This window comes from Homo sapiens, chromosome 8 (genome assembly GCF_000001405.40).
Source record: "Homo sapiens chromosome 8, GRCh38.p14 Primary Assembly".
NCBI lineage: Eukaryota > Metazoa > Chordata > Mammalia > Primates > Hominidae > Homo > Homo sapiens.
In genome coordinates this window covers 140,781,952-140,803,158 of record NC_000008.11, presented here as the reverse complement: position 1 = coordinate 140,803,158, position 21,207 = coordinate 140,781,952, and the positions used below count along the sequence as shown (strand labels likewise).

At 38.9% G+C, this 21,207-nt stretch overlaps 1 protein-coding gene across 173 annotated transcripts in view; it reads left to right on the top strand.

Annotated features, from left to right (window-relative positions):
* PTK2 (protein tyrosine kinase 2) overlaps positions 1 to 21,207 on the top strand; it is a 344,180-nt gene that overhangs the window by 198,921 nt on the left and 124,052 nt on the right. For 172 of the 173 annotated variants that reach the window (NR_148039.2, NR_148038.2, NR_148036.2 and 169 more), the window contains 3 exons: positions 2,583 to 2,700; positions 9,775 to 9,805; positions 13,633 to 13,685. Coding sequence is in view for 165 of the 173 variants with exons in the window: in NM_001352699.2 (NP_001339628.1) it covers positions 2,583 to 2,700; positions 9,775 to 9,805; positions 13,633 to 13,685 (202 nt within the window). In the remaining 8 variants the exon portion in view is untranslated. The remainder of the gene's footprint in view (positions 1 to 2,582; positions 2,701 to 9,774; positions 9,806 to 13,632; positions 13,686 to 21,207) is intronic. The other variant, NM_001352711.2, reaches the window with a different exon arrangement.

Here is a 21,207-nt window from a genome sequence, read left to right as displayed (position 1 = left end):
CCTGTAATCCCAGCTACTTGCGAGGCTGAGGCACAAGAATCTCTTGAACCCAGGAGGCAGAGGTTGCAGTGAGCTGAGATGACACAACTGCACTCCAGCCTGGGTGACAGAGCAAGACCGTGTCTCAAAAAAAAAAAAAAAAAAAAAAAAAAAGATTGTCATCAAGTACCAAGGAAATTAACTTCTTGGAATTATATGTACAGTCATGTTTTGCTTAACAACAGGTACGTTCAGAGAAATGCCTAATTCCCTGATTTCTTTGTTGTGCAAACATCACAGACTGTTCTTACACAAACCTAAGATGGTTGTAGCCTACTGTACACCTAGGCTATACAATATAGCCTGTTGCCCTAAGCTACAAACCTGTGTAGCATGCTACTATACTGAATACTTTAGGCAATTGTAACACAATGGTATTTGTATCTCTAAATATATGTAAACATAGAAAAGGCACAGTAAAAATACAGTATAGAAGATAAAAAATGTTACACCTGCATAGAGCCCTTACCATGAGTGGAGCTTGCAGGATTGGAAGCTGCTGTGGGTGAGTCAGTGAGTGAAGGATGAATGTGAAGATCTACGACATTACTGTGCACTGCTGTAGACTATAAACACTGTACACACCATATACTTAAATTTATTTTTAAAACCTTTTTCAGTAGTAAACATTAGCTTACAGTAACTTTTATATTTTATAAACTGATTTTTTTCGGCTTTTTTGACTCTTGTAATAACAATTAATTTTAAATATATTGTACAGCTGTACAAAAAATTTTCTTTTTTTACATACTTATTCTGTAAGCTTTTTTCTAGTTTTAAAATGATTTTCTGTGTTTTTTACTTTTTCAGCTTTTTTGTTAAAAAGTAAGACACAAACATACACGCTAGCCTAGGCCTACACAGGGTCAAGAGTATCCATATCACCATCTTCTACCTCCACATCTTGTCCCACTGGGAGGTCTTCAGGGGCCGTAACACACATGAAACTGTCATCTCCTATGAGAACAGTGCCACTTTCTGGAATACTTTCTAGAAGCCCTGCCTGAGGCTGTTTTACATTTAACTTTTTTTTTTTAAATAAGTAGAAGTACATTCTAATTAAAAAAAAAATAGTAAATACATAAACCAGTAACATAGTCATTATCCAGTATTATGTGCTGTACATAATCGTATGTGCTATACTTTTATAAGACTGGCAGCACAGTAGATTTTTTTTACACCAGCTTCACCATAAACATGAGCATTACAACTTCAGGATGGCTACGGCATACCTAGCAATAGGAATTCTTAGCTCTATTATATAAATCTTATGGAACCACCATTGTATATGCGGACCATCATTGACCAAAATGTTGTTATGTGGTGCATTGACTATATATACTGTAAACTGAGTTAATTTCCACACTGTGTTGTCCATGATATTCTCTGGGTAGAAATTATTATGTGATTATAATAGTTATTATTATATGATTATAATAATTATAACAGCAGCAGTACCTGATACTGGGCACATGCTACCTGTGGTTCTTTACGCAGAAGCCAAGAGAAGCTGTGTCATTGTCACAACCAAGGAAGTAGATACTTTGATATACTTTGGTTAACCCCATTCTGTAGCTGAGGAAACTGAGGCATGAGAGGTTGGCCACATCAAGTAATTGACAAGAGATGGGGTTCATACCCAAACAGTCTGGATCCAAAGCCTGTGTTCTTAATCAACAGGCAACAGTGATTTAAAACAAGTGGCATGAGAAAGAGCCATTTGGCAAATACTACCTAATGTGGTCCTTTCTGCAAGATGGACAAAATACACTCGTGTATGAAAGGATCTGGACAGTCTGGTGGCACACACGGTTGTGCTGGTGTGTAAAGCATGTTTTTTGAAGCTCATCTGTTTCCATCAGCACACCAGGATTCTTTGGTCTGTTAACGGCCAGTTCTCTGGGTAGCTTTATTTGCAGCACTCCTCACTTAGGCTGATGCCTCGTCACTCTTCTGCCCTGTGATTCTGTGAGTTTGGTGACATCTGAGGGCTCTAGGAACTCTTGTTGATTCTGGAGATTAAGCAAATATTACCAAACAATATCAAATTTTATATTGGAAAGAGAATGATTTCTAAGCCCTTGGGCGAACATGCTATATGTGCTAAAAATAATGAAATTTTATTAATTTTCTTTTACATTAGAAATTATGATGGATGGTTGATAAAAAATTTACTCCACATTAGTTTCTGATAGAAGTCATACTTTAACTTACTGATTGTCTAAATTCTTCCCTTAACTGGAGTATGCCAGAGGGGCCAGACACTCTGAAGGAAAATACTTTTTTCATCTCTTTTGATTCTAGAAAGTGAGCCCCAGTTTAAGTGATTTTTCTGTTTTCATCTGGGTTTGCATTTGTCACATATTCTAGGAATAATGTCCTTAAATATCAGATTTCCTTTCTCAAATCTCATGACAAATCTTGTTTCATTCCCACTCTTCTCTGTTTTCAAGTGTATAGAGATGTCTGATGTCATAGCACAGCTGTCCTTTGCTTACTGGGAAGAACAATGAAGTCTGTTTTCTTGATCTTTTCTCCGTTAGCCTCTGACAGTGACGGCACCATCCCTAACCATTGCGGAGAATATGGCTGACCTAATAGATGGGTACTGCCGGCTGGTGAATGGAACCTCGCAGTCATTTATCATCAGACCTCAGAAAGGTGAGGTGCTGTTTCTGAGCATTCCCAATTGCGCTTCTACCAAATATTTAGCTGTGCTTGCCCCTAACAGCCTGTTATCCTCTTTTAGGTAACTGTAAAAATGAAGACCAAATGAATAATTCAGCTCAGTATAATCTGAGGACTTATTTTTCTAGGGATGGTGATCCGTTTCACACCTTCCACAAGCCAAGAGCTGGGTTTGAATAGAGCCTAAAAAAAACATTGTCTGTGTTTTGAGCTACCTACTTAGAGGATTTTCTAAATTGCCATTACTATTTTTAAATACATTAGTATTTTTAAAATTTTGGGTTTAAATAAAATTCTGGGTTTAAAAAAAGGAATCCGTTATAACTCACTATAAATAAAGTGTCCTTTCTACTTTTTCTTATATATCTCAAAAGCTTAGAGCATTCAAAGAAGAAAGTACAGTCTAAGTCATGATGTTAAAAAATCAAAGATTAGAATGAATAAATATCCTAGAAACGTCACTATAAAAGCGGTGTGGAGTTTTTGCAAGCATATAATGAGGAATGCTTTTGAGGATTTGGATTTCTGAAAGAATCAAATGAAAATATTCCCAGCAGGATAATAGCATACATAGTGTGAAGCAGGGAAAGACTGAGTTTGGGAATTATGGGACTTAAGTTCAAATCATGAGTCCTCTGTGACACCATCTATAAATTACTTTTCTGAGCCTCAGTTCTGTCATCTGGTCAAACACGAAGAACAGTAACTGTCTTCTATGGTATTAGGAGGATAAAGGACTTATTTATAGGCTTGGAACTATGCCTGGCACACTTGATGCTCCTAGATTTTAGTTGTATTGTTGTTCCTGTTGTTGCTACTAGTTGAGTCTGATCTTGACACTGTATCAGCCTAGACTTTGAGATACCTCATCTGTAAAAGAATGATACCTATTTTGTAGGGTTGTTAGACACCTCCCAAGGAGTAACTGTAAAGCAGCTCACGCTGTGGAAGTGGGGACTCTGAATGTGGGTTTTGCCAATACCCCTTCTAGCACTCACCTCAGTGACTAGGATGATTATAGAGGAAAAAAAGTCCTGAAGTGCTGTGTGGAGTGCATTCAAGTCAGCAGAATTGTATTAAACAGCGATGAGGATAGAGAAAAGGCCAAAGGTCAAGTGAAGCAGATAGAAACGCAGAGGATCCAGCCTTGCCCAGCAGGGAAGTGCTCTGTTTACAAAGCAGTTTGAGGAAGGCATGGTGTTTGCATGGGAGGTACATGTGAGTGTTGTGTGTTTTATAGAGAGGAGTCATTGGACCCTTTATTTATGTATCTCAAAAGAGGTAACTGATGGTGCTGTGCCCTGAAAACAGCAGCTGAAGCCATGAGCCTTCGCTAAGTAAACATAAATCTGTGTGATTCCAGGACATGGCTTTTCTAAAGGAAAAGTGTTTTCCCACGGTGATCACACCAATAAGCCTATTCATATATTTTTCCTAAGTTTTCTTTGTATAAAATAGAGTAATGAAGTTGCTTTCAGAAATCTCTACAGTTACTCTCAGTTAAAGCCTTTGCAGCTATAGGTCTTGATTTTTCACTTTGTGCTTTATTTTTTATTTTTATTTTTGACGTTTTCTTCTTCCAGTGTCGCACTTTATACTTTAAACAGGAGTATATGCCTTACAAATATTATTTAAATGTTTTCAGATAATTTCTTTACATAAAGATAGTAATTTAGGAAAAATGTTAAATGTAATAGATTGCCCATTTCCTTTTTAGTGAATAATTTTTCATCTTTTATCTTCAGTTTACCAAAAGGTCCTTGACATACACATTTAAAAATAACATTCGGATGTCAGGCATTAAATGAGCCTTCCATGTTTAAAACGTAAACATCTTCCTGTGTTGATTTCACTATTAGCTAGCGTTTTTTGCTCTCTAGGGAGAAACATTTGGATATCAAACATGAAATGCGATGCTTTTTAAGCTCTTTGTTCATATGAAAAGAGCATTAATGAAAATGCTTGTCATGAAAAGCTAGATAGGGCATTGGTTGTTTCCAATTTTATATTGTCTTTATAAAATGAATTATTAAACTTGGTAATTTTCTTATTCTCAATCATAGCATGTTTATGTATTATATAACTATTTCATCATAGATCCCTAAGGTGAAGATACATTGCCTAGTTAAAATAATATTAAAGTCAAACATCTTTAGTGGATTATAGTCAAAAATACATGTGAACACAGCACATGTACATTTTTTAATTGAGATTTTTTAAGAGTTCAAATGTTAAACATGTTTCTGCAACTCTAATGTACCGTTTTCCTGGAAACATGCTTTAAATAATAATTATATATGCCCATCTGTCTTCTCTAGATCATAAACTACTTATACATGTATACATGTATATGCATAACATAGCATGACAGTAATAAGTGATCAGTACATTCTACATGTGAATTGGGTGTGCCCAGATGCATTTTGTTAGTTCTTTGATCTACCATAGTTACTTTGGATTTATAAAGTGCTTTTAAAAGGGATGTTACCTTGTCATAGTGGCTCATGTCTGTAATTCCAGCTACACAGGAGAATCCCTGAGGCCAGGAATCTGAGACCATCCTGGGCCACATAGCAAGACTGTATCTAAAAAAAATAAATTAATTTTAAAAAATAAAAATAAAAGGTGATTTTCCTGGGGAGAACATAGTAAGAGCCACAAGCCAAATTGTCCTGGACTGCATTCCACCACAGTCTGCATAACCTTGGCCCTTTCTGTAGGGCATTATCTAACCTACACCTTACCTGAAAGAAAGTATACAATCAATTTTGCAGTGTTAGTAAAATTCTGTAGTAACATTTTTTCAGAGGAAAGTGTATAGTGTAATATAGAGTTGTAATTACATAATTGTAAGTAGGTTTTCTGTGTATAGAATGATGGTGAATACTGTGCATTTCAAGGGAGGGAGTGAATGCTTCTAAGCATGGCATAAATTCCAGAAGACATAAAAATAGAACTGTTACATTTAATTACATAATTAAAACACTTATGTGCTGCTGAAGCGACACAATTACATAATTAAAACGTTTCGTTTAGTACAAGGTAACATTTTTAAAGCTATGATGACAGGGGAAAATATTATGACACATATAATAAATAATTAAAATTTCTCATTTTTCAAGTGTTCTTCCAGCTCATTCAGTAAAAGACAACCTAGTATAAAAAAGAGGAATGTACACACAAATGTCCAGTGAATATATGGATACAGTGATATATTTCATTTTATGTTTATTACATTGATTAAAGAAACCTGATAACCACCACTGGCAAGACTTCTGGAGAATGCCAGAATGACTCATGATTGTGTCATTGTAAATTGGTACATTTTCAGAAGACAGTTTAGGAGTACTCTGCCCATTTGTCTGCCTCCTGGAAATCAGTCATACAAACCACTGACCTGAGGAGGATATTCACTATTGCAGTGTTTATAATAGCAAAAAATGAGCAAAAATTAATAAATGAGGGAGTATGCATACATGATGTAATACTATGCAGCTGTTTAAAAAAATAGCTCTATTAATGTATTAAAAACCTACATGTAAATGTGTGTGTGTGTGTGTATCTCCAAACTTGTGTATTTATAAGCATTAAAAAGTCTGGTAAGTTAAGTCACCAATTTCAGTTAATGAACACTTCTAAGAAGAATGGAAGTACATTTGAACAAAAACATTAACTCCCAGAATTAGACATTTTAGGTAGTGAGTCCTTAGGGTTTTCTTAAATGCTGCTTCTACTGATGGTGTCTGTTGCCATTTTTCTGTATTCCATTACTCTGTTTATAAAAATATTCTCTCAGAATCCTTCTGTTGTTTATCTCCTTCTTTACAGCTGCCTTTCTACCCATGCCCAGCTACTTAGAAAGTCTCCTGTTAGGCAAAAATATAATAATGGATTCCTTTTTCTTTCAGGAAATAGAAATTTCAACAGAATACAAACAGAAATCACACTAATGTGTCATTTGAAAGGCTATATTATTAACAATTTGGGTGTGAGTAAGGTGGTGGTGCTGGTGGTGGGAGGTGGTCATGTTCATGGGATAATAAACGTAACTATCAGGACTTTTCAGTTACTCTAAATTTGGTCTTCCTGGTGTGACTTGGTTATTTTGCTTGAAATAGATGTTCAAAATGTCAACAAGTGATGGCTTGCAGTTTGGCTTGAATTCCTATGATGTGCAGTGAGTTGTATATATGCAGTGTTAAGCCTCACAACTATCTCTGCAAATCAGAAGAATTAAACAGTTTTTCAGAAAGAGTAACACGGGGTCCTAGGTTGATTTATTTCTTTCTTTACCAAACAGTGGTCGGACAGTCTCCCGAGTGCCAGATACTCTGCTAGATATTAGGGATGCCTTTGGGCAGCTTAAGTCTTACCGTAACCTTAGGCAGGTTAAATAGTCTGTAGAGAAGTATATGTGGCAAATGCTCTGTGGATGCAGCAGAAACATAGAGGATGCCGCTCAATGCAAACTGAGGTATTCCAGGAAGGGCTCTCTGCCGGAAATAGAACTTGAATTGAGCTTTGAAATATTGAGGAATGTTTCTACCTGAATGAAGGAAGAGCACATTTCAAGGCATGTGTGGTATGTTCAGGGGAATACAATGTGCAGTAGTATAGAATCAGGGAATAGTGACGAGTAATACTGAAAAGGCAGATTGGCCAGACCAAACACTGCATGCTTTCAACATGTAGTTGTTGAGCTCCTTCCATTTTCCAGGCACAGTTCTAGGATAGAGGATGTAGCAGCAAACAAAACAGACAGGGTTGTGCATGCATGGAAATTTCATGTAGGTGAGGACATACGTGCGATAAACAGAGTAAATTAATAGAGAAAATAAATACTGTAGCATATAATATATCAAATGATGTTGAGCTGTATCGAGAAAAATAAGACAGGGAAGAAAGTAAGGGATACAATTTTAAGTAAGGTTGTCAGGGAAGGTCCCACTGAGAGAGTCGCACCTGAAGGGGTGGAAAACAGAACCTACAAGGATATCTGGCTATTCCCTATTGAAGGCTGGGGAGTGCTAGGAAGCATGCCTGGAACAGCAGAGACCCAGGTCACTAGAATGCCTAAGGGGGTGATCCCAGGGCCAGTGGCTGGTCAGGATGTAAAGGCATTGTAAGGGCTTTGGCTTGTACTCAAGTGATTTGGGAAGCCATTGGAGGGTGTGAAGAGAGGAGTAATGTGATCTGGTTTATGTTCTAGAATAAGTACTCTGGCTGCTGTGCTGAGAATAGACCATGGTAGGTTGGCCTGGGTACAGATAAAGTAGAGGGACCAATCAGGAGGCTATTACCATGATGTAGGCAAGTGATGTTTGGGTCAGGGGTTCTGGAATGACAGTGACAAGTAAGAGGACTTTGGATAGAGTTGGACAGTAAAGCCTTGCATTTGCTGCACTGGGTATGGATTGGGGAGCAGCAAGGCCCTGTGATGACTGCTGGTTCCACCTGAACAATGGGAAGTATGCAGGTGCACCCACCAGGACTCAGTTTTGAATATCAGCAAGTCCCAGCAACCTTCAGACATCCAGAGGGAGGTGTCATGTAGACAAGTTCAGGTCAGGGGAGAGGTCCAAGCTAGAGGTATGCATTTGGAGCTGCAAAGTGTGGGTGGTATTTGACGCTTTGAAACTGTATGAGGTTACCAAGGAAGTGAGGTTAAGAGATACAGGTGTGAGCACTGGGTTCTCTAATCTTCATCAGGCCAGGGAGATAAGGAAGAACCAATAAAGAAGACGAAGAGGTGCCATGAGAGGGCAGAAGAAAACCAAGAGAATATAGTACAAGGTTCGGGAGGCCCAGGGTGGGAAGCTCTCAGAAGGACAGAGTGATTAGCTGTGTTAAGTGCTAACTGTAAATGAACAATTGGGCTTAGCAAGGCAGATGTCATTGGAGATGTTCAAAAAGTATTTTCCGTGTATGGGGGTGGGGGGGAACTGATTAGAATGAATTCAAGGGCAAAAGTAAGGAGAGGAACCGTGGACAGCAAGTGTGACTACACGAGTGGTGTTACCAAGGAGCTGCCTAGAAGGGCACCAGAGTGGTGAGTGGTAGATGGGTGCCTCCTCAGCCTCCCATACCACCCCACAGACACGATACAAAGATGACAGCCAGAGCAGTGTTTGTGTGCTGAGAGAAGTGAAGCAGTGCTTTGTAAATTAAGCTGGGGTGTTTAAATCTCATCCTGAAAGTTTTTGAGAGACACTAAAATGTTAAGCATAATAACTTGCTTGATTGATGAATTGGTAATTTGGGAAGATTATTCTGAAATAATTTAGCTCAGATGGATTAGAAGACAGGACCAATTAGGGGGCTGTTACATTAATTCAGATTAAAGAGGTTAAACCAGGGAGGGCTCCATGTTTCCTGGTTTGCGAAATGAAGGCTGAGGGAAAGAAAGCGTTTCCCTCACCATTGAACGAAGTCCTCAGCTTCACTGTGGTCAGGCCGGCATGAGCCAGTCACTGTGTCCTGCTCAGCAAAAAGGGAGCTCACCCTGAACTGTGGTAGATAGCTGCCTGGCTCACCTTCCAGCCAGCTGTGTGCACGGCTCCTTTAGATGACAGCTCCAGGACTTGCCTTCTCTCATACATTCATTCCGTTGGCAGCCATGCACACCTGTAGAATTGTTTTCCTTCTGTTTCTCTGTGCTTCCTGCACAGGTTTTTCTGTTGTTACTAGTGAGTAGTTTTATCAAAGTGCAGAATGCCTGGTCCTTTGACAAGGAGTGTTGACTAATCATAAGAAACCCTTCATCTTTTAGTCTCCTGCAAACGAAGTCTTTCACCAACTTAGCATCTTAGTTCTTTATTATGATTAGGCAGTACCCTTTAAACAATTGTATCTAATACTCAGTTTATGTTTGTTATAAATATTGAAAATAAAACCATGAGAACCTAAGGTAGACAGTGTAGCAACTTTCTTTAAAGGGTCATTGCTGGAATACCAGTATAGGCCTCATCCTTCCTCCCTGATTCTAGGCACCATCTTTTCAAAAGGAGTGAAAAGAGCCTTATGCATCTCTTTTCTTTTTCCCCGCAGAAGGTGAACGGGCTTTGCCATCAATACCAAAGTAAGTACTGCTTTTTTTGTACTGTTATTTTGTTTTGTTGGAAAGTTTAAGGAAATTTCTATGCTTTATTATTCATTTTCCTAAAAAAATTAAATTCAATATACATGATCAAGGAACTAGGAAACAATTCTAGAAAGAAATCAAGTCAGTTTTAAATTTTATTAAGTATTTAGGCTTAATCAAAAGGTTTTAATTTTTCCTTTAAGTTCTATGGGGGAGCTAAAGAATAATCATAATGTTGAGAGCCTGTTGTTAAACATTTGCTTCATATGTTATTGCTAATCTTTACAAGAACCTGAAAATATGTGGCATTCTGGCTATTTTACAAGTATGAAAATTAAAGAGAAATAATTTATGTTAATTTTCTTGTTTATTTCCTAATTTTATAGTGGGCATGTTGATCTACAAAACTAAAAGAATCGAATAGTAATACCAAAAGAACTTATATAATTTTATATTCTCAGCCAATTTGCTAGGAACTGGGGACTAAGATATGAATGTTAAAATCTAAACAATCAGATACATAGGTAAACACACAGTTATAGCTGTGTGGTAAGTGCTTTCAGAGATATTTACACTTTCCAAGACACTGAAGAAGAACAGTGAGCCTAAGAGGCCACTGGAATAGAGAGGGTGAGGCCTGGGCTTTGTTCTGTCCCTCTCCTTCTTCTCCATAGCCAGTCCCTTACTATTTCCTCCAGTTCCATGTTCTAAATGGATCCATCTGCTTCACTGCCTTCCCACTGTGTCTCCCCCGTGTTTAGCTATCTGGGCTACCCAAGTACACTTCTGTGTTGGGGTTCCCCAAGATCTAGGAGTCACAGGACTCAGCTATGATGTATTACAGCAAATGGATACAAAGCAGAATCAGCAAAGGATGAAGGTGCATGGGGTGAAGTCCAGGGAAAACCAGATGCAAGCTTCCAAGGGTCCCTTCCCAATGGAGGCCACAGGACACTCTGAATTCCCCAGCAATGGATTGTGACGACCTGTGTGAAATGTTGCCTACTGAGAAAGCTCATTAGAGACTTGGTGCCTAGGGTTTTTATTGAGGGTTCTTTTTACATGCACTCTGTGCCTGGCATGCATCCAAATACCAGACTCCCAGAAGGAAAGCAAGAGTTCAGCATAAACCACATTTTTTGTACAAACATTTTAGGCATAGTGTACCATACCTGTCAGGGGATGGTGGCAACTCTGCGAAAATCCAAGTTCCCAGATAGCAGGCAAGGGACAATCATGTAAGGTCAGTCACAGGCCTGCTACATTAACTCTTTTCTGTGTACTTCTACTAAATCAGTCTCTGTCCAGTTTTGCTCCTTAGCCTGTCCGTGCTCTGTGCTACAGCTTGAGGAAGCTTTCCTAATTAAATATCTTACATGACCTACTCTTGCTCTTAGGATACTTTGCAATATTCTTAACCTAGCTTGCAGGAGCCCGTGTGATTGTTTCCTGCTCACTTCTCTAACCTTGGTTTTTGTCACTCCTCATACTATTCTTCAAGTACATTTACCTTTTTTTCAATTCCAGGAGCAAACATCCTGTCTTTTGCCTGAAGGCCTTTGCCAATATTCTGTCTTTGCATGATCCACTCTTCTTCCAACCCCCTTTTCGTTGCTAAGCCTAACTCATCTTCTAGGTCGCATTCTACATCACTTCCTGTAGAAACCTCATTGACCCACCCCCAAGCCAGGAGAGCATCCCCATCATGTTTTCCTGTAATAGTTTCTAGTTATTAATTACCAGAGTCCTAAACATGGGCTTTTAACTTGTCTACCCTCCCCAGCCAACCTGGCAAGTTGCTGACAGCCAGGGTCATATGCAGTACTGTGGGCCTCACACAGGCAAGGTCTGCATGTGGCTAGTGCACCTCTAGCTTTGGACAGTGCACTCTACAGCATCAGCAGTGTCTGATAGAGGTTCATTTGGGGTCATATCAGGGCAGGAACTGATGTTTATTTAGAGTACCTTTAGTTGTGGGAAGTTAAGGGATAATTTTGGATTAAAATCAAAGCTGGGCAATGTGGCATGTTCCTGTGGTTCTGAGGCTGAGGCAGGAGGATCACTGAAGCCCGGGGGTTTGAGGCTGTGGTGTACTATGATCATGCCTGTGAATAGCAACCACACTCGAGTCTGGGTGACTTCGTGAGACTCCACCCCATTTCTTAAAACACAGACACACACACACATAGAGGAATCATGAACATAGGTATGAAAGTGAGTGAGGAAGGTAGTACATTGCAAGTGTTAACAGATAAAGGAAACTAAATAAATGAAGCAAACTTTACAAGAGTGGAATTTCCACAAACCTTATAGCAGCAGGACACCATTATTGCTGTTGATCAGATAAGAGCTGAAATCCAAGCTATCGTGAGAAAGTTGCTTAGCAACAGCATACATAATTGTGGCGCAGACAAGGGAAAACCCCAGTGTTTTGGCAGCACAACAGGGAAGGAAATGATGTAATTTATTGATTTAAAATGTGTGTCCTCTGACTGCCCAATAAATATAGTTCAAAGATAAGTTGTGATAAATCATGTAGCGCAATGGAAGAGAAAGTAATGAGTTGTTAGAAAACAACTTTGATTAAATTTTTATACTAAAGATATAAAATTTCAAATATTTGGAGAATTCTGTAAAAGGAACACAAGTCTATGGCTGTTTGCTGTGATTATTATAGAGATTATACAGTTTCACATTAAATAGTTGTAGTGCTTCGAAACGATGTACAAGTTGAGCATTTCTAATCTGGAACTTCAAAGTTCAAAATGCTCCAAAATTGGAAACTTTTTGAGGACCAACATGTTGCAGCAAGTGGAAACTTCCACACCTGACCTCATGTGACCTCATGTGTAACAGGTTGCAGTCAAATATTTGTTTCATGAACAAAGTTATTTAAAATATTGTATGAAATTACTTTTGGGTTACATGTATAAGGTGTATATGAAACATAAACAGATTTCACGTTTAGACTTGGGTCCTATCCCCTAGATTCCTCATTTTGTATATGCAGACATTCCAAAATCCAAAAAATCTGACATTGGAAACACTCTTGTTCCAAGCATTGTGGATAAGAGATATTCAACCTATACTGTTTTAAATGTCAATATTTCATCTGGAAAAGGTTTTCTCTTATAAAAAGATCAGGTAACTTTGACATCTAAAGACTGTGTGGCTCCTTTTTTCCCTGTGTTTTGTGCTTTCCAAAAGTTTTTTACCAATTTTTTAAACGGCACCAAGACTTTTGGCCAAAATTTTATTTTTTGTGGGTAAATATGTAAAACTAGTGTTAAACCATGTCATGAAGCAAGTAGCAAGATACATTGAGATTACTTTTTTAAGTATGTAGGTAATAGTACATATTAATGTATTGCTTGATAATTTTTTATGTGCCATAAATTTGAGAAAGACCAGTCATACTGTAGTATTTCATATTATGTTTTAGAGAGCAAAATCCACTTCCAGGTGTATGTTTTTTTTCTCATAACTTTAGGGGCAATCCTTTAGTGTGTAGCATTTAAATTTATATTTTTATATTTTTATTTAACCCATTCATACCAGATTAAATTGTATTGCATTGTTTTAAATTATTGTCAAGAGTATCTTTCTCAGAACAGTTCAACATTCCTTCAGTTGTGTATTTTAATTTGTGATCTTTAAAGCATTAAAGCAGCCTGGCTATTTTAATAGTAGAATCCAATTTTTAAAGAAATCACGTATCTAAAATTTTGTCTTCCTCATCCAAGGCAGTTCCCCACTTGATGAGGCCGAGTTGCGGGGTCCTGGGGAAATTGCAGGGCTTACAGCTTTGCTCTTGTCTGTCACAGGTTGGCCAACAGCGAAAAGCAAGGCATGCGGACACACGCCGTCTCTGTGTCAGGTAAGGGGCTCTAGGTAGCAGACCTCGAAAAGCACTCTCATGGGGTAAGACGATCATAGATGTCTATTTTTAGTATAATTGCTTCGTTCTAGAATAGCTTATGAAAATAAGCATTCTGGCTATCCAAATTTGCATAATTTTACCATCATTAAATAGTTTTAAGTATGGCTCATAGTTTTTTTTTTTTTTTTTTAAGATGGGACATAGATAAAATACCAGATCACTCAGCAAGTTGTATAGAATTCCAAATTATTTTTGGGTTTTAATATCATGTTAATCTTATCCAGAATGAAGTTGCCATTATAATTTATCTTGCAATTCAGTAGAATATACTTTGCATATTTATTTTAAGAAGTTCAGGAAATGTGAGACATTTTAAAACAATTTTTGTCTTTCACAATATGGTGTTTGAGTATTGCTTTTTAAAAAATATAGTTAAGATTCTGGCATGAGCATTGTCTTAACTATTTGCTGGTGCAATTAAGTGTGTTGTACTTTCCTTGGTATGTTTCAAAATAGATATGCCTTTTTTCCCATTTAAAAATGTGGGAAATAAAGGAAAGGGGGAGGATGAGAAAGCATCTTCTGTGGGCCCATTTGATATCTTAAAATACATATACCATCTGTATATGCACATATATACATACGTAACCATATACACACATATGTAATTTGTTCTTATATATGTGCATACATATATGTTACATTTCTGAAATAATAGTTTCCTTTTAACTTTAGCATCTCACTTAGAAAAGACCCAATTCCTGTTTATTTTGAATCAGTTTTTTTTGAGACAGAGTCTCACTCTGTCGCCCAGGCTGGAGTGCAGTGGCGCGATCTCAGCTCACTGCAACCTCTGCTTCCCAGGTTCAAGGAGTTCCCCTGCCTCAGCCTCCCGAGTAGCTGGGATTACAGGTGCCTACCACCACACCCTGCTCACTTTTGTATTTTTAATAGAGACAGGGTTTTGCCATATTGGCCAGGCTGGTCTCAAACTCCTGACCTCAGATGATCCGCCTGCCTCGGCCTCCCAAAGTGCCAGGAATTATAGGCGTGAGCCACTGGGCCTGGCTTCCTTGTTTGTTTGTTTTTTTAATGGTGCACAAATGTCCCATAAGCCCTTACTCAAGAAGTATTTTTGCTTGTATTTGTACACTTGGCAGAGATACTCAATAAAGGTGAATGATGTGTTATACTGTCAAAGTACTACTGCTTGAGAAATCATTGCTCACTTCCTAACTAAGTAGAGAGAAGGTTGGAATGCTAGAGCTGGTCTTATGGAAGCTTCGGGGTTGCCAGCATGTTCTCAGGTAAACAGTTAATCATCCTTATAAGCTTAATCGTGACTTCTTGGAGTAGCCCTAGTTTCCAGTAGTGACACTGGGGCAGTAAACAGCACTCAGCATTTGCATTTGTTCAGTCTGTAGTGGGTACAGAGAATTGGCAAACTTGCCAGGCCCTCACGGAGTTTGTAATCTAGTTGGAGAGAGAAAGACCACCACACATGCTACAGTCACAGGAGTCTGGAGGAGGGAGCAACTGCTGGGCATCAAAGGATGTTCTGCAGGATGTTCTGTAGAGTAGGTGAGATTTGAGCAGGGCTTTGAATAACTCGCAGGCCCTTTGGTCCGTCTTCTTGCCAAACTGTAAAGCAGCTTTTGGGATGAGCCCCGGGGACTGCCCTTTTGGTGCTTGCCACACACTGTCTCCACAGTCTCCCCAGGCTTGATCAAGAGAGAAGGGAAATGTCCCATTATGTTAATAAGGACTATTCCTGGCATCTGTCTTTGGGTAACAAAGTAATGAAATGTAATAAAATAGGCCCCAGCAGTGCCTTCAAATCTTGTTCCTCCTGTTTTACTAATCTCTTTTAATCAATACTCTCCATTCAAGGTTTAAACCTCAGATGTGTCTTTTAGCAGCTGGTCATCACCAAACTTGGATTTTACTTCTTCCAGCCAACCCCCACTTTATGATCTCAGTGTTTTCTTCTTATTTCAGAACCCCATTAAGAGGAATAAAGTTAGCTGGCATTTTATGAGTACTGTGTTCCAGGCTCAGGTTTAAGTTCTATGTTCTTGTACATGTATCATCTCATTTAGTCCTTACAACAAAGGGCCTATAAGATAGTTTTCTTGTTGTAAAGCTGAGGAGACTATGTTCCAGAGAGGCTAAATAATTTGTCCAAGGTTACATAGCTGCTAAAATCTGGAGTCATTATTCAAACTCTAATGTCTGGCTTTAACACCCCCCTGAATTACTTGTGATCGTGCTTTCATTTTTTCTTCCTAGGTATTCCGTAACTAGGAGTTCATACTTCAGTACCTTCTCCATGCTCTTAGATTGCTACCATGTTGATTTAAATAGGCAGTTCTCTGGTCAGAAACTTTTAGTAATCATTTAGTATCCATCAGATGAAGTTTGGGCTCCTCAGCTTAGCCCTCCAAGACCTTTCATTATCTGCCCACCACCCACTTCTCCAGTCTTCCCTCACCTCCTCATCTACATTGTTTTTTAGCCAAAAAAAAGTTGGTGGCTGTGGCTCTCCCATCCTCCTTATCTCTGTTGTTCTGCTTGAGCTGTTCCATCCAGACTTGCTCTTTTCATCATTACATATAAAAATAGTTTCACTTTCAGAGTTAGTGATACTTCAATATATGACTATCACTTAGGTGATTTACAAATCCAAGCAAAGAATAAGTGGTGTCCAGTGGATATTTAATGACATGGCATTAATTGTTCGGAGTCCTGTTTGTCCTTAGTCATTCCCCTACTGCTTGCTTACTTAGGTGGAACCAGAGAAACAAGTGTGGTATATTTCTTTTCTTTTCTTGCCTGCCGGCCCTCCCTCCCTTCTTCCTCCCATCCTTTTTTCCTTCTGTCATCCTGACATTCAATGGTGTGATATGTTTCTATCTTCCACAAAACCATAAAACCTAAAAACTGATAAGCCTAGCTGGCCAGGAACCAGTACATTGCACTTAGCCCCAGAGCTGGTAATTCACATTTCTAGGGACATCTTTGTTAAGCCGATACCTAGAAAAACGGTAATCTTACTAAATCCCAGGGTTATTTCTTACCTGCCAACCTGGAAACACCGTACTATGTGGGATGTAGTGCTGACACACCAAGGTAGAGGCCCTACTGCTCCTGGATCCTTGTGAAATTCTGCATGTGCTTCTCCACAGTAAGCGTGTTCAGTGTCTAGGATAGTGGGGTGAGGCTGCAGTCAACTGTATGCCAGCTGCAATTACTTGTTTTTCTGTCATACGATACTTCATTTAACCCCTAACAAGCCCTGCGGGATTGAAGAGACCTCAGTTTTACATTTCTGTTTTACATTAATCCGGCCAACAGATAGTTCTTGAGTGCCTGCAGCGTGCTGAGCACTATTCTAGATACTGGAGTCTGCTAGAAAACAAAGCCACGTCCCTCCCTTTATAGAGTTTACATTCTTGGTGAAAGAGTCAAACCATAGATAGTGAATTAAAATAAAGCAGATGAATTGAGAGCAACAGGAAAGTTATTTAAAATTGTGTTTCTGTATGACAGTAAACCTGCACATGTATTAACTCGTGTGGGATTGTAAAGCCCTTCATAATTGTTAAATATTATTTAATCCCACAGTGGCCTTGCAAGGTATTTATTATCTCTCCATTTCACAGATATGAAGAATTAAATTCAGAAAGGTAAACAAACTTATTCAGTGTCACACAGCTTGAAAATGATGGCACTAGGATCGGAACTCAGGTCATTATTACCCTCTAGGCTCTATTGCCTGTCATGAGCAATTTGAGAGAGTTTGCTCCCCTGTACTGATGAACTGTTACACTCCCAAGTGTCAATGAAGATGGAGAGTCTTCATGGGATTTGTCTGGCTCTCCCATTTTTCTTCACAACCAAAGAGTTCTTACCTGACCCAAGTCTGGGTTCATATGTCAGTACCTCATAGAAAGCTTTCCTGAGTACTTTAAGAAGATCTGGACTCTTCCTCCTCAGAGCTCTATAGTGCACTGTACATTTCTCTCTTATGCATAGTCCTAAAATAAATGTCATTGTGTTTTAGAAACCATCTTGTCCACAAAACCATGAACCCATTGCATGTAAAGACATGTTCTGTTTATCTCTTTATTGTCTGGGATATAAGTTTTGTAATTGTTTTTAAATAAATCCATGAATTCCTGAGTAAGGTATGGAGGTGTGCTGGGTCTTAGAGGAATGCATTCTGGGTAGCGGGAACCGACAGCAGAAAGGCAGGAATATTTGGACCGACCAGTGTCACTGGGGCTCTCAAGGGATTACCTGTAAGCTTGTCACTGTAAATTGTTCTTGATTTTTTCCTAGGAATCATTATAAATGGTTCTAGATTCCTTCCTAGGAGATGTTGGGCAGGGGTAGAGAGGATAACCAACAGAAAAAGCGAGGATCTAGATAACTTTAGGACAGTTTGTCGCTCTTTGTGGGTCTCTCTTGTTGGCAAATAAAGCAATATCCTTACATTCCGGAGAGAAGATACCAGGTACTTTTTCATATTTTGTTGCAAAATAAAGGTAGTTATTGGATCACCTTCAGTAAGATTGCAGTGACAGTTGATGTTGAATATATGAACAGTGTATCTTTGAAATTCACACAGTATTTCTCTACAAAAATAAGTGTAAGATTAACAGAGATTTATAAAAATATCTAACAGAACAACATGTGTCCCTGCCTGTATTGTTCTGAGAACCTGTAGAAGTCTTTTTTTTAAGCCTAATTATTAAGTTATAAGGAAACTTGTGCTTGTTGTGGAGCTCGGGTACAACTTGGAACATATCTGAAAGTCAGGTGCTGCAGTCTATCATAAGGGACCTGTAAGTATGCTGAAAGAGGAGGTGTGGCCTCTGTGGGGAGGGAGTGCTTAACCAATGGTTGTGTGGGTTAAAATTACCCTAGAAATCAGGTATTTCCAAATCAATGAGTAAAGCTGTATTTTAAATATTTTGAAGGTATAAACTTGGGGGTTTTGTTTGGTGGATTATTGTGTTTGGGTTTTTTTTTCTTTTTCTTTTCTAAAATAACGAAGCCCTTGATCAAGCAGTAAAACCTTAATTATGACCAGAAGTACAAGATAACACATGATAGTAATACCATTGCATTATGCACATGGCTCTTGTTACATGTTTGGACTACACATGTGGCACTAGAGATAATACAAGTTTTCTCATTTGTATCTCTGTCATGTACACCAATGCAGTGATCTTTTTCAAATGCTTGGTTTGATTGTCTCTAAGCCCTTCATGCTAAAGGGCAATTATACTACTTTGTGATAGTTTTTTTCCCCCCACTTTGTCACCCAGGCTGGAATGCAGTGGTGTGATCTTGGCTCACTGCAACCTCCGCCTCCCAGGTTCAAGCCTCCTGCCTCTGCCTCTGCCTCCCGAGTAGGTGGGACTACAGTTGTGCACCACCACGCCTAGCTAGTTTTTGTATTTTTAGTAGAGATGGGGTTTCACAACGTTGGCCAGGCTGATCTCGAAGTCTTGACCTCAGGTGATCCACCCACCTCGGCCTTCCAAAGTGCTGGAATTAAAATTAGTCGTGAGCCACCACGCCTGGCCCTTTGTGATACTTTTTCAGTATTTGTTGCAATTTAAATAAATTTTTAATTTTCTAACATTATTTTGGTTCAGTTGTTTATCATGCAACATAATTTCCTTTATTCAAGATTACTTTTAGGTTTTTCAGGTTAGTGACTGGAAATTATTCTGAACTATTAAAACATTTAATGAAATAAATGTTATTTGTATTTTGTATTAAGCTGCTTCATTACAAATTCTAAAACAGCTCACTTGTATATGCAAAGGTGGTTTGTAAACTGTAAAGTTCTATAAAATATAAGGTGGTATAGTCTATAATAATTACTGCATTTTATCTCTTTCTGTGTGGTCTCTGATACACTAGATTTGTTACCTATTCATGACTATGCCACTTATAAATACAGGTAGTTATTTACATATGCATGTGTCTTAGAGATCATGCCTGGCCCATCCACAGGCATCATTTTGTTTAAACCTCATGAGAGTCTTCGTAATATTTTCACTTTACACATAAAGAAATAAAGACACTCGGAGCTGAAGTGGTTTGGCCAAGTTCACATAGCTAGTAAGTAATAGCCTGATGGAAATCTTGATCTTGGACTAGAAGGTTTGTTCTCTTTACATTAGACCATATTGACTCATTTCTTTCTTTTTTCTGGAGACATGGTCTCCCTCTGTCACCCAGGCTGGATTGCAGTGGCTTGATCTCAGCTCACTGCAGCTCAACCTCCTGGGCTCAAGTGATCCTCCTGCCTTAGCTTCCCAAGTAGCTGGGACTACAGGTGTGCGCCACCATGCCCAGCAAATTTTTGTATTTTTTTTGTAGAGACGGGGTCTCCCTATGTTGCCCAGGCTGGTCTCAAACTCCTGGGCTCAAGCGACCTGCCTGCCTCTGCCTCCGAAAGTGCTGGGATTACAGGTGTGAGCCACTGCACCTAGCCTATGTTGACTCATTTCTAAAGCTTGATAATATAAATGTGTGGAAGGAAATAATACTTTGAAAGAGTTTGCGTGTGATTCCATTAAGGTTTTTTCCCCTCATTTATTAGGAATAGGATAGTGCTGACTCAGTTCCAACTCTCAGAAGTGTGCCCTGTATTCAAGTTTGAAAAAGGTTCTTCTGTCTAGTTTTACACTCTAGTTTCAATTTTGATAATGCTGTGGGTTTCCAAGGTAGTCTCTATCTGTTGCTGAAAGCTTGATTTAAATGCTAGCTTTTAGGAATTAAAAGGGGAAAGAAAAGAAAAAAAAAAACCTTGCCCTAATTTGAGAGCATTGTCACCTATTATATAAGTAGTTCATTTTTTTCCCTACCAAATCTACGGGACACTGAAAAAATTAAAAAGTAAAACTAAATTTAGGCCAGGCACAGTGCCTCACGCCTGTAGTCCTAGCACTTTGGAAGGCCAAGGCAGGCAGATTACTTGAGCCCAAGAGTTTGAGACCAGCCTGGGCAACATGGTGAAACCCTGTCTCTACAAAAACTGTAGCCAGGCGTGGAGGCGTGTGCCCATAGTCCCAGCTACTCAGAAGGCTGAGGTAGGAGGATCTCTTGACCCTGGGATTTGGAGGTTGCAGTGAGCTGAGATCACCCCACTGTACTCCATTCTGGGTGACAAAGAGAGGACCCTGTCCCCCCCCCCAAAAAAAAAAACAACCAAATTTTAAAAGATAAATTCATTTTTGTAAATTATATGCTTTGTGACATAATTTAATCAAATTAATGCTACTAATAATTTTTATGTGCACAAAGTAGTAGGTATTGAATGTTATTGATCTGTTCCTAGTACCTGGCTCACTGGAAATTATTCTGGTAGTCAGTCTGGTATTAGGAGAGACTCCAAACCACTGAGAAGCGTACAGTTGTCACTGACTTCATATGGATAGACTGGCTGATCGTGTTGTGCATGAATAAGGAAGTGAACAATCAAAATAGCCCAGCTGTG